Below are 13,894 nucleotides of genomic sequence, written 5' to 3'. Positions count from 1 at the left end.
TCTCCAGCTCCCCCTTTGTGCTATTATCTCTCCCATTATATCCGTGCACAAGACTCGCAGCTCTAAGAGTTTCAGTTCCTCCCTGTCCTTTGACCCTGGTTTGTTGCTTACTAAGAGCGCACAGCTCACCCTCTGTGGCTCACCCTCCAACACTCCATCCCCCCGCTTCCTGTGGATTCCAGGTTCGCCTGCTCCCAACCACAGCTCCTCTGCCCTCCATGGTCTCCCCACTGGCAGTAAAAAGCCTTCCCTTCTCCTTCGCCCAGAATCCGACAGGGACCGTCTGGAAGGGGTGACCTCAACGCCAGTGCTCCACTCTGGCATACATCTGTACCTGCCTCAGACTTTTTTTCTCCCTTGACCTGGGTGAGAAGGCTGTGCAGTCCTCACATGCAGGAATGACCCTCCACCCACCTGGGGTCTCATCTCCCTGTCCTTAGGAAGTTTCTCTGTTCATCTATGGACCGTCTTCTCCCTCTTAACACAAATGTGGCACTCCTGTTCATCGAGTCACTCATCTGAGCAAATATTAATGATCACTGTGTGCCAGGCATGGTGCTGGGTGCAGGGCATGCAACAGCAGCTGGGACAAAGCTCTGAGCTCCTGTAGTCTGCAGCCAGTGGGGGCTGGGACGAAGCTCTGAGCTCCCCATAGTCCTGGAGCCGGTGGGGGCTGCAGATCCATTCCCTGACAAGTACAACACTTGTGACTCTGGCCCCAACCTGCATCTTCCCTGCCCCTTCAGTTAGGTTCCTGGAAAAGTCATCTGAGCTGAGAGTCCCGCTTCCTTCCTCCTACTCTCTCCCAGCCTGCTGCATGGGCTTCCGCACCCCTGACTCCATGGCAAAGCCCTCACGGTACTGGGCCCGAGCCTAGCTGTTCTCCACAGTCTCATCTTCCCTGACGTCGAGGCTGCACTGGACTGTTGGCCTCACCCTCCTTGAAACACCCCCTGCTTCTTGATACCACGTTCGATAACAAAGTAAGCTCCCCTTATCTGCAGGTTCACTTTCCATGGATTCAGTTACCTGCCGTCAACCGTGCTCTGAAAACAATAAGATATTTTAAGAGCGAGAGACCACACTCACGTAACTCTTATTACAGTGAGTTGCTATAATTGCTTAATTCTATTATGTCATTGCTTACTGTGCCTAATTTATAAATTAAACTTTGTCATAGATGTGCATGGATAGGAAAATACATCACGTATTTAGTGTTCAGTACTATCTGCAGTTTCAGGCATCCTATGGGGGTCTTGGAACGTATCCCCCGAAGATGAGGGGACCATCATACCACTGTCTCTTAGTCTCCTTCCCCTAAATCATCTTGCCAGGGAGACCAGCGGCAATGCTAAACCTCAGTTGCCTGAGCTGAAGGTCCTGCACTTTGTAGGGGCCAAGGGAAAATCTCCCTTTGCCCTAGGAAGGTTCCCTGAAAAGCAACTGGCAACAGGCAGAGTCACAGGAGAAAAGACATACACATGTATTCAGACATATTTTATGTGATATGGGAGCCTTTGGCATGAAGATGCAGAAAAAACGATCTGTTTTTATGCTTAGGTTCAACAAAGTGTGGACACCATGTAGAAACTGACTGGACAAAAAGGGCCTGGTCTCAGCCGATAGACAGAGAGGGGAACCCAGCAAGGCCCATCTGCTCAGGTGCCTCTCAGCCTCTCTGCAGCACTCCCATCTCCAGGGGAGGGGGGCAGACCCTCTCTGGAATGGGGGTCTCAGGACCCACAATCCAACAACGGAAGTCAGATAATTTCTTTAGGGCCAGTTTTTACACAGAAAGGCAGGGGGCAAGTTAGAGGAGTATTTTTCGGCTTTGTGCCTGGCTTTGGGGAAACAGGGCTCTGGCTTCTTCCACCTGCACTGGGGAAGAGAGATTCTGATGTCTATGGCCAGCCTCAGGGGAGACTGAGCGGCCAGGGACAGGAGGGCAGGAGCAGGTGAGAAACATTTTTGCTTCTGAGGCCTTCATTGTGGGATATCATTTTCTTAGCCCTCACAACGTGAACAGACTTTGTCCACAGAAGGAATTCTGACTGAGCTGGACCCCACATCCTGCCTCTCACCTGCTAGAGTCAGGCTCAGCAGCGTTCCTCGTCGGACCAGAGAGTCGGTGAAAACCTTTGGCAGAAGGTGGCGATCTGCAATGACCTGCGGGAAAGTCTTGGAGGAGAGCGGGAGCCAGGAATTGGAAGGATTACGTCACGGCTGGAACATGTTGGTTCCACAATGACAAAGGAAATGGCAGGATCCAGTGTAATTTTTAGTGTAATGGGGCCAATATTGTTCTTTGGGAGGAAATAGATTTTTTGAATTTCTCATTATAAGTCAACAGGAAAATAAGACATTACGTACAAAAAATGCACTCGCTTGCAACTTTCCGAGGATATATTTGCTATGTAATGTGAGGTTCCTTATTTTTAAGCTGATAATTTAAGTAACGTTATTGTAATTTACTTCTTAACTTTTAAATGTTGTCTTTATTTAGAAATAACTGTACTTTTAGAAAAGGCAACATAAATCAATACCATGAAATGAATCACTTTGGCCTGTACCAGAGACAACTTTGCATCTACAACGACGTCACAGAGTCTGGGGTTCTGAGCGCTGATCCTAAGAGCTGGACTTCAGGGGCGGCGATGGCGCTCTGCTGAACTGAACGAACCACGGCTCCTCACCCATACGCGAGAAGCGGCATCCCGGCCTTCGCGGCGCTCAGCCTGCGTGGGGCGGCAGCTGGCATGATCAGGACTATTCAGGGGGAGCAAGAAACCGAGTGCCAGGCACATCAGGCCAAGTCCTCAGCCCCACCTTACTTGTTCCCTGCAAACCAGATCACAGTGACCCTACAGCACGTATCAGTTTCCAAAGGCTGCCTTCACAAATGACGGAAAACATGGCTGGAAGCGGCGGAAATGTATTCTCACAGTCCTAGAGACTAGAAATCCAAAACCCAGGTGTCGGCAGGGCCCCGCCCCTCCGAAGGCTCTGTGGGAAGATCCTTCCTGGCTTCTCCGGCGCTTCGGCTCCGTGAATTCTGGCCGTCCTTGGCCTGCAGCTGCATCTTCCGATCTCTGCCTCTGGCTTTGTGTGGCTGTCTTCCCCGTGACTGTGTCCAGATTCTTATATAAGGACACCAGTCATTGGCTTAAGGCGTACCCTAGTGGTCACCTTCACAGGTCTCAGGGGTTAGGACTTCAACTTCTATTGCAGGACGACACAGTCCTACCCACTGCAGAGTATTGCATGCTGGACATTTGGCCAAGCTGTTTCTTTGAATTGTTTCACTTCATCCTTGTAAAAATCCTAGGATGTAGAAACTCCATTTTACAGATAAGGAAACCGAGACTCGGAAAGTCAAAGCCAACCGCCCAGGGCCACACGGCTCTGATACGGCAGAGGAGAACTCAAATCCACTTCTCTCTTACCCTGGAATCTTAACCCCTGGACTAGATGCTACATTCAAAAATTGCAAGTCATTACAGCCTAGTTAGAATCTGTTTTCTGGGTCAAATAACTGGTCAGATCTGGAATCAGAACTTTGAAGGGGTGTCAGCAAAAGCTCCAAGCTGGTGAGGGGGGATCTTTGCCTGAGAAGGGTGAGTGCACTCAACACAAGAACCAACACACAATGAAGGCTCCCTGCCCCCACCCAGGGCCCTGCTCCGTAAATTACGACCTGAAATCGTCCTCACCCATCACCCTCGTTTAGTACCTTGTGAGGTTAGAACACCAGCCCCATTAGCTCCAGACCCTCCCTCACCCCAGCCCGCATCCCTTTCTGGGCTGGGCAGGGACCCATCGGTAAAACACGCCAGCATGCCGGCGCTCTGCTGACCTGATTGTAAAGCTAACTAAACTAATTAATCACAACAGATTATTAAGAGTGACAAGGTCAGAGAGGTGACATTCTCCAAAATCTCCAATTTGGTATGGGTGTGCATATTTTTTTAATCCCCACAGCAATTTATTTTCCGTATAGCAAAGTTTCTCCAAGTATGTCCCAAAATGTAGTCAAGGTTAACTGTGCTGTGAGCTTATTCAATATTTATGATTCTCTTTATTTGTATTACTAGGACTTTTGGGGGACTCCAAAAGGTTCATTAATCAAACAGAGTGACAAAATGAGCCATTTGACAATTGGAACAAGGGCTGAATATTATTATGATTTTATATATGTGTGTGTGTATATATATATATACACACACATCTATATACGTATATATATATTTTTTTGGTCCAGGAATAAAGAACCAACTTAAACTTCATCAACAGTTCCTGATTAATTGTTACAAAGTGTCATCCATAAATTTCCCTTCGATCTAATAATCCTCTCAGACGATTTAACAATATCCCCAGCGAGTTGGCTTTATTGAGGGCTGAGTTCCTGAGAAGGAAGGCAGCGACACAAATAGCTCAAGTGCATGGAGACAGTCGCTGGCCAGTCTTCCCAGCGCTGACAGCTCTGAAATACAATTATCAGTGTGATCTGCTTAAGAATTCATCATCAGCTCCTGCCTTCTGAAGACTTAAAAAAATACCGAGACATACAAAGAGAAAGAGGTGATAAGAAGGCATCATTTTCCTCCAGCCTCATAACTGTAAATTGAAGAAAATTATTTTCTTTGCCTCCAGCTCATTGGCATATAGGCAGCATTATATTATAATTTCATAAGCATAAATCCTTTGAATAAATTTCAGAAGAATAACTGAATTAGAAATGCAAGTAAAGTATCTAAAAAACTTCACTGTCCTAGGCAGAGGAGGAGATGTGAGAAGCAGAGGGAAAGAGAGAATTCCTCTCTGGCGACCTTCCCTGGGTTACCAGGGACCTGGGACAAGGTCTGGCTCAGGGAAAGACAGTTCTTAACCCTACTCTGAGCCCAGTGGCAAATAAAATAGCCCCCTCTCCTCTTCCCACTGGTATGTTCCGAGGAATTCGAGTCGTAATTCATCATAAATTAATTTTGGAGAAACAACAGGCTTGGGGCACGTTATAATTATTGTTATTTGTTTATTTATTATCACGTTAACCGTTATTTATTATTATGTTACGCATATGTGAGACCACAAAGGCTGCTCCCCGCAGTTTCCTGGCAACACGGCCGTGAGTTCTTCACACGCAAGTTACCAAGTGCGCGGCTCCGAGAAGGGCGGGTGGGAGGAGCTGGACGCGGTTTGGGGTCCCCGGCTTCTGCGCTTTCCTGAGGGGACCCAGTGGGACGGCCGGTCCGGATGAAGAGTCTGTCTGGCACTGCGGCGACGGTTCATGATCTGCACAGCAGATCGTCTGCAAACAAAGACCATTTAGAGGCAAAGCTCTGGCCCCGAGAAAGACGCCAGGGGCTGGCTCAAGTTCAAGGAGGAAGAGGGCCCTTCTTGGTGTTCTGGGCAGCCGGCCACAGACACCTTCCATCCCACCAGGCCACTCAGGGAGGAGGAGGTGAGGACTGGGAGGGGCAGGGGAGCCTCCGGGAGCCGCCTCGCCCCCACCCTGGGCTCTGGTGGTCTTCCTCCCCTCCCCAAGGCAGCTAACTGGGGGGGCCACCGGTATGCGGGGAGCAGCCCTTGTGGTCTCACATATGTGACATAATAATAAATAATGGCTAACGTGACAATAAACAAATTACAACAACAACAACATTCTAATGCCCACTGGACAATGGAATCCCCTGGGAATGTTTTTGTTGTTGTTTTTCTTCCTAAATTTTTAATTTTAAAATAATGAACTTGTAGAAAAATTGTAAAGATAGCACAGAGTTCCTACATAGCCCACACCCCATCTCCTCTTTTCCCATTATTAGATCGTGTTCCTCTGTGCATCCGCCCCAGTTCACAGAGCAGTACTGACTCACAGGAGTGCTTCACTGAAGCCCACGCTTTATTCGGGGTTCTCTAGTCTTTACCTAAAATCCGTCTCTACCCCGGACCCCAGCCGGGACACCCCATGGCCCTCAATCCTCAGTTCTCCTTAGACTCCTCTTGGTGGTGATGGATTCTCAGACTTTCCTGTGTTGAATGACCTTGACCTTGGCTGTTCTGAGGAGGACCGGCAGGAACACTGAAGAATTGGAGTTTGATGTTTTTCTCATAGTGGGTTGAGTGGAGACTGCACCTGTGATGGAGGTCGAGCGCTTTCATCCCATCCCATCAAGGGTGCATCGGGTCAACGTAACCGAGCATGGTTAAACGTGATGACCTGGCTGAAGCAGTGTCTGCCAGGTTTCTCCACTGTAAAACTGCCTTACCCCTTTCCATACCTTTTGGAAGAAGTCATTATGAGCAGCCCACGTGGCCAAAGTGGGGAGCTGTGCTTCCCCTCTTCAAGGGCAGGGGATCTACATAAGTTATTTGGAAGTCTGCACAGAAAACTTGTCACTCTCCCTCCAATTATTTATTTCCTCAGTCATTTCTATCAGAATAGGCTGGCTCTATACTTTGAGTTATTTTCCAATGCTATCTTACTTTGTTGCTCAAATTGCTCTAGCTTTAGCCACTGGGGGTTCTTTCCATTGCCTCCTATGTCCCTTTAAAATGTCCCCATTATGGCGGCATCCTGGGTGTTTTGGTTTGGCTTGGTTTGGACACTTCCTTGCTTTCTGCTCCAGGCTCATCTTGTTTACTCCCCTCCCAGTCCCAGAATTAAGCATTTCTTCACAGAACCCGGGATCCTTGTATGGAAGACTGGGATTAGCAACCACTATCTGGTGCTGGGTTTCAAGACTCTCCTACATTGACGCTTGCTTCCAGTATAAAATAAAGGTATTATAACATATAACACAGTCTGAATTTAAAATAAATCTAGTATTAAAAATAATGCTACAATGAATGAACCATCAGGCACCATTTCTTAGGCACTAGAGAGATGGTTACTGAGGGGAAACTGCTAGAGATCCATCAGATCTGCCCTGCCTTCTTCCCAATCACAAATCTGGACTGCGGTGCCTGCTTTCCACAGCTGGGAGTGGTCGGTGACTACGCACTCCTCAGTGGAACGGGAGAGGAAGCCCGATGCACCGCCACACCTAGCTCTTAACCTATGGATGTGTCTCATCCACACCCTCTCCCTGCTTTCTTGATGAAAACTTCTGGCCATGCAGAGATAGACATTGCCATAGGGAAAGACAGAAAAAGGATCTCACAACTTGGACAGAGCCTGCTTCTTGAATGACTTCGTTGGAGCAGAGCCACTTGTGGGGCTGGAATATTCCTGTGGATTTTTACCTGAGAGGGATAAACCTCTACAGTCCTCAGAACACACACGGGTCCATTTGTTACCCTAGCTTGCAGAGGGCACCCCAGATCTTACAGGGTACCCAGGTCTCACAGCGTACCCCAGCTCATACAGGATACCAGGCCCATGCAGCATACCCTAGCTCATACAGGATACCCCAGTTCATAAAGGATACCCCAGCTCATACAGGATACCCCAGTTCATACAAAATAGCTCAGCTCATAACCGATATCCAGCTCATGCAGGATACCCCAGCTCATACAGGATACCCCAGTTCATAAAGGATACCCAGCTCATACAGGATACCCCAGCTCATACAGGATACCCCAGTTCATAAAGGATACCCAGCTCATACAGGATACCCCAGTTCATACAGGATACCCTAGTTTATAAGGGATATCACAGCTTATACAGAATACCCAGCTCATACAGGATACCCCAGTTCATAAAGGATACCCAGCTCTTACAGGATACCCCAGTTCATACAGGATAGCTCAGCTCATAAAGGATACTCAGCTCATACAGGATACCCCAGCTCATAAAGGATATCCCAGCTCATACAGAATACCCAGCTCATACAGGATACCCCAGTTCATACAGGATAGCTCAGCTCATAAAGGATACCCAGCTCATACAGGATACCCCAGCTCATAAAGGATATCCCAGCTCATACAGAATACCCAGCTCATACAGGATACCCCAGTTCATAAAGGATAGCAAGCTCATACAGGATACCCCAGTTCATAAAGGATACCCAGCTCTTACAGGATACTCCAGTTCATAAAGGATACCCAGCTCTTACAGGATACCCCAGTTCATAAAGGACACCCAGCTCATACAGGATACCCAGTTCATACAGGATACCCAGCTCATACAGGATACCTCAGCTCATAAAGGATATCCCAGCTCATACAGGGTACCAGGTGCATGCAGGATACCCAGCAGTTCATACAGGGTACCCCAGCTCCTACAGGGTACCCTGGCTTCTGCAGATCACCCTAGATTGTACAGGGCACTTTAGCTCAAGCGAATTGCACCTCACTGGAGATCATTGACGTGAATCTTCTATGAGGTGCCTGGGGTAGAGCTCAGAGAATGATGTCATGGGCAGTTTTCCTGGGACAATGATGTGACAAGAAGCCTTTCCATGGAATGGAGACTGGAACTCTCCCCTAGGGTTGCTGGGAAGTCAGGGCAAGTGAGACACTCTCACCCACAAGGGCCACCCAGAATGGCTTCCAGCCACACCCTCTGATTATTTGTCTAACCTTTGTGGTTTAAAGTCCCCTCCTGAGAGCGCACCTCCTTTGACCGAGGATCCTGGTGAGCACTCTGGGCACTCAGGCCATCTGCTGATGCTGCCAACCACAGTTGCCCCTCCACAGATCATGGGGTTGGGTGCTCACCTGTCCCCATGCCTTGGTGTGGTCTGTGGATGAAGCATTCACCTGCCTGGTGTAGGAGTTACAATCAGTTAACACTGACACCTGCAGACCCTGCTCTCAGGAGCTGCACACCATTTGTTCTATATTTGAGTTTGACCTTTCATGACCAGCAGGAATTTAACCGTCAGCCTTGTCTAGACAGAGTTCAGGCTTTGGGGCTCCGTCAATAAACCGCATCAGTGGTCTATGCCAGGCTTCTTAACCTCGGGATAGCGACACCCTGCACAGAGCAGATGAATAAAGCCATGTCCCTCTGCGCTCCAGAAACAGCACGAAGCTTTACCAGAATGTGTGCAGCCAACTCTTTGAAAGAACAGGTGCTCTGAGGGGCTGAGTCCCTCATTGTTTGGGGTGAGGGTTTTGGGGGGAGTGCCTCCCTCTCCTCTGTCTCCCTCCTGTCTTCATTGCTTGGAAAAGAAACAATGACGCACTTTGCCTGGTGTTCAGTGCAGGTGTTCCTTTACCCCTGGAGTAACATTTTGCTTGGTGTTCAGTTAGACTGAGAGTCCTGAAGTCCCAAAGGCTTGGCCTTGAATCCAGGGTCCAGCCCTTCCTAGTTGGTGACCCTAGCAAGGGGTACGTGCCTCTCAGCCTCCACTCTCCCAGCTGGACAACAGGGGCTGCATGAAGACCATTGTCCATGACATCAGAAGCAGATGCACAGAGCTTACTGCAGCTCTTGGCACAAGGCGCACCCTCAATGAGAGTCAGCTCCTCCCGTCTCTTCCCATGGTCCTCCCCTCGCCCCTAGGAAAAGAGGGTAGGCCTGAAATGGGGGCAGGAGAGACAAGCCTCTCCTCTTTCCCTCTTTAGAATTGCCTGGTCAGCAGCCTTAACCTTGACCTGAGCTCAGCCCTACCCCTGGGGGAGGATTTCACCTAAGAGCAGTGCCCGAGTCAGTCTACCCAGTTGCAGCAGCAAGAAACAAACCTTCGGGGTCGTTGCATCCCACACCAGACGTCCTGTGCAAATCTGGGTGCAGTCTGTACCTCACATCCTGTGGACCCTTCAAAGCCCATTCTCTTCCGGCTCCCTTATCACCATCACCTCTATTGCAACCTGCTCCGTGGGATTCACTGACCTCATGACAATTGTTTACATGAAAGAAAAAAACACAAGTTGATCATCAATCATTCTTACTTTCTTACTTGAGAATTCCGTTTAAGAACAAGAAGAGTCTTCTTTATTTTAGAGGCCTGTTTTGTTGACCAAGTGTAACTTGGAGGTCAGCACAGGAGACCTGCTGCTGTCTGAACCATAAAGTGGGATTTGAGAGGGCACTACATTGGTTTGTAGAATTCAGGGACCAGCCAAACACCTGCACCCTGGCCACAGAGCAGCTCAGGGTGCCTCTGCATACTTGCTCGTGAACATCCCATAGGACACGTCAGCAAAGTGATGCTGCTCCACTGCGACTCTGGCCAAGTGTCACACTCCTAGGAGAAAGAGCCCTGTTGACCAAGCCACCCTTGGATAATGACCACAGCAGAAGGGCACAAGCAAAGGACAGACAAGGGCGCTGGGGGAATCCCTGTCAGCTGAGCAGGCCCCCAGTGGGTGTTCATGTAATTAATGAGCAGTCATTGTCCTTAAGACAAAGCTAATAACAATGCAATTCTATTAACAAGAGCTTTTTATTGAGAAAGTATTATAATGAATATTCTTCTTAATGCTAAAGTAATTCCTTCCTTTGTCTGGTTGTGAGGTTTTTGTTTTTAATTTTTATTATTGTTTTTATTTTTTGTTGTTATATGCAAGATTCTTCACAGACATGATCTTTAACCCTCAGTCTAAACAGCCCTATGAAGTCGGTATGATTAGACCCACTCAGATGAGAAGGCAGGCCTGCAGGGGCCAAGCAACACACCCAAGGTGACATGGTCAGTACATTGCAGAACTGGGACTTGAGCCCAGATCTTCCTGCCTCTAGAATGCACTGTCGGATTTAGAATGAGTCACTGGCGTAAGCAGCCCAGGCATGACCTTATGGATCTAGAATGATGCTAAGGAGACAGGTGGAGCCATTCTTGTCCAGAGCTGCTAAACCAAGTGTACATTCCCCACCTCTAACTGCCAGGACACCCATCATAGAGTGCCAGCTCTCTGCAAGGAAACTCAGAAGCTCTTTGAAAACTGGACGACTGACTATTCCCACATGCCTTGGTCTTGCTGTTCCCCTCCCCACCTTCCCACCAGCAGGAATCTTTCAAGGCTCAGTGTCAACGCCTCTCATGGGAAGCCTGCCTGGACTCTCGTGTTTCTGAATAGCAGCACTGGCCACGCTCGGCTTTGCATAGAAGGTATTTTCATCCACCCATTACTCCTACCAACATTCTTCCATCATTCCCTTGAGATGAGGAAGACATGGTCTTCTATGTCTTCCTTGCCACATTAGCCTCTTTAGCAGGCCTGGGGCAGGCTCTCCGTTGTTGTTGGGTTGAGTTGAAAAATGCCACCCTGCCTTGAATGCCTCATAGTGAAGGAAGAACTCTCTCCAATCACACCTGTCCCTCTATCTGGAGAAGACAAAAAGAAGGGTCTATTTCATCATCAATCTTTAGAGTAACGGAAAGAGATAGAAAAATTCCCAGCATGCTGACTGTGGCAGCAACTACATGGGCTCACTTGTCTTCTAGTCCTCCCTGCGCCCTCTGAAGGTAGGTGTGGCCATGCGACTTGCTTTGGCCAGGGAGATGTGGGTGAAAGTGAAAGTGCTTCTTCCAAGTGGAGCCTTCGGACCTGGTGTGCTCACTGCGTGTCCCCTTTCCTGTCTGGGCATCCCAGGAAGCCTGTGCCCGGATGGACCCTGAGGGACAGCAGTTGACAGAGCCTTCCTGCTGATGCTGGACACGTAGCACGAAGAAGAAAGAACAGTGCTGTGTGAAGCCACTGAGACGCTGGGGTCACTGTCGCCACGGCATAGCCTCGCTGTTTCACAAATTCACATATTGTGCCTTCTTCTCAGAATAATCAGCTCTTATTTATTGATAGAAAGAGGGTTCATAATAATGAGGTTAAATCATTGAGTGTGGTAACAAATTGTATATAATACAGCCCTAGCTCTGTTGTGCAGTATAATTCTGCACAAATGCACACACACGCACACACACCCCAAAGCAGAAAGTACGGACTTTTTCTGGCAGCAATTGTTCATGCTCTATGAAAGCTGTTAATTTTTCTCACTGGAGCTAGGCCAATTCAGTTCAGTTCACGAAGGCAACCATTGCAGAATTTTGTCTAGCATTGTTTTCTAGAGGTACCTCAGTGCCACCTAGAAGACTGGGTATTTTCCCTTAATGAAAAGATAGTCAGAATAGGGGGAAATGCTTTTCCTTTCTTTCTTCCTTTCTCTTTCTTCCCTTAAAAAAAAAAAAAACCCAGAATGATGTTGTGATTACCTTGCATTTTGCAGCATAGTGGATATGACAGTCAACCAAATTAATCCCATTATGCAAAACCCAGTTCGCAAATGGTTTTGCATTTTTGCAAAATTATGTCAATTTTCCCATAAATTGGAGAGACTGTGTCAGTTTTCTGAACCGCACAGAGACGCTTCTCAGTGCTGTATGTCTATATTTCCCTAATTCAGAAGCATACAGATTTTAGCTCCATGGCACAAATTAGGATTCATAACTTTAATGCTGATACTTTTGTTTACGTGAGACTTGCATGAGAATTGCCATTCATTTCACATTTATTTACAATCTTCTTCCTCATCATACTCATCATGATGGGAAAAAGAAAAGAGCATTAGCAGTCTGGGGAAAAAATGGTTAAAACAAAATTCTTAATTATTTTGATATTAAGAACATGATTCATTCTTTCTTTTCCTTTCTCCAGCACTCAGTCGGGTGCCTGCAGCCCTCACCCTGAGTGTCTGTGCCTTTTTCTCTGTCCGTGTTCAAGTGTTCAGGCAGCAGACAGAGCTTCCCAAATGCCGTCCCCCTGGCCAGCCGCAGACAGGCTGTTGGTGGCCAAATCTTCCTGGCATTGACTGTGATCTGTGAATTCCCTGTAACTGGACCAACTCATCAAATTCAACCCACTCCTGCCTTGAGCTGCCGAACAGCCGGGATCTGGAAGGCTCGAACCCTGACCCCTGTCACCAGCCCTCCGAGCCTCGCACATCTGCTGGCTGGATGCGGCACTGCTTCACCTGGTTCATTTCAAATGCAGCAGGCCCCCTCCGCTCCAAGCCCAGCATCGCCTCCTCTCCGTCTCTCTCTCTCTCTTTTAAAGGGAGAAAGAAAAAGCTTCCTTGTTTTGAAGACTGGCGCTCCGAGGGCTAAACTACTTACTGAATTCGGAAAATCTATTTTTTAATGGTTCTTCTTTCTCTGCGCAGCACTCTTTATTTCGAGAATGCTTTCTTGAGCAGCGAGTTGTTGACTTTGTATGCTTTGGATTTATCAGACATGTGTCAAGTTGTCAACCTCCTACCGTCTGCATTTGTGTCCACCTTGCAAACAGCAGGGAAAAATACTTTTTTTTTTCCACGAACGTTCACTTCTTGGCAGTTCTGAAACAAATTTTTGAACAGTTGCTGTTCCTATTGATAGCAATAGTTTGATGTTTCAAAAAAAACCAGGGTTTTATTTTCCCCTAAATTTTTGACATGTTCTGTCATATCATATCACATCAGACCCTGATGCATCAAAAACAAAAAAAAAGGGAGGGCGCAGCCTGCTCTGCTCACATAGATCATGAGCCTTCACAGGACACCCACCCATCTGTTCGCCACTTTCGTCCTTTTGTTCTGTCTCGAATGCTGGTATTCCTCAATCAAATGTATTCTTGCTTCTTCTAAGCCGCTGCAGTCTCTCCGGCAAGGCTTCCTAATCTTTGTGAGAAATAGTTCCAAGGAATTTGGAGACTATTCGCCTTTCCCTACTGGTGAGGGGCTGGAATCTAGATCCATTGAGGGTATCAGCTGCAATCAACAATAGACAAGGAAGAATACACAAATGAAGTCAACACCCAATAGCCCCAGGCAAGTGTCACCTAAAATTGCTGAAACTGTGAAAAAAAAAAAGTCCACAATCAAGACTGTTCTTCTCAGAGCTTTTCCCATCCCCTGGCAGGGCTGCCAGGATCTCCCCACGCCGTCGGGAGCACGCTGAGACTGTGAAATGAAGCCCAGCGTGATCTGCACCCCCGGCTCTGTCCTGGCAGCTTGTCCTCCAGAAAGGGGAGGCGGACT

General features: G+C 47.9%; 2 long non-coding RNA genes across 2 annotated transcripts, besides 2 other annotated features; one reads left to right on the top strand and one right to left on the bottom strand.

Annotated features, from left to right (window-relative positions):
• Window positions 2,249–2,748: an enhancer, noted in NCBI's record as "H3K4me1 hESC enhancer chr18:72882505-72883004 (GRCh37/hg19 assembly coordinates)". NCBI's record gives its function as "activates a minimal SCP1, AML or CMV promoter by ChIP-STARR-seq in primed H9 embryonic stem cells {active_cell/tissue: H9 hESC(primed)}" and the evidence as "EXISTENCE:reporter gene assay evidence [ECO:0000049][PMID:30033119]".
• Window positions 2,749–3,250: an enhancer, noted in NCBI's record as "H3K4me1 hESC enhancer chr18:72882003-72882504 (GRCh37/hg19 assembly coordinates)". NCBI's record gives its function as "activates a minimal SCP1, AML or CMV promoter by ChIP-STARR-seq in primed H9 embryonic stem cells {active_cell/tissue: H9 hESC(primed)}" and the evidence as "EXISTENCE:reporter gene assay evidence [ECO:0000049][PMID:30033119]".
• LOC105376874 (uncharacterized) lies at window positions 5,013–5,551 on the bottom strand. The gene is made up of 2 exons (XR_007066418.1): window positions 5,509–5,551; window positions 5,013–5,305 (listed from the first exon to the last, which is right to left on the bottom strand). It is a non-coding gene; the product is annotated as an uncharacterized LOC105376874 (long non-coding RNA).
• LOC124904326 (uncharacterized) lies at window positions 5,286–6,793 on the top strand. The gene is made up of 2 exons (XR_007066417.1): window positions 5,286–5,458; window positions 5,820–6,793. It is a non-coding gene; the product is annotated as an uncharacterized LOC124904326 (long non-coding RNA).
• Window positions 6,794–13,894: the final 7,101 nt, after the last annotated feature.

This window comes from Homo sapiens, chromosome 18 (genome assembly GCF_000001405.40).
Source record: "Homo sapiens chromosome 18, GRCh38.p14 Primary Assembly".
Lineage (NCBI taxonomy): Eukaryota > Metazoa > Chordata > Mammalia > Primates > Hominidae > Homo > Homo sapiens.
Note: the sequence above shows the minus strand (reverse complement) of the source record. Positions and strands in the feature narration are given on the sequence as shown.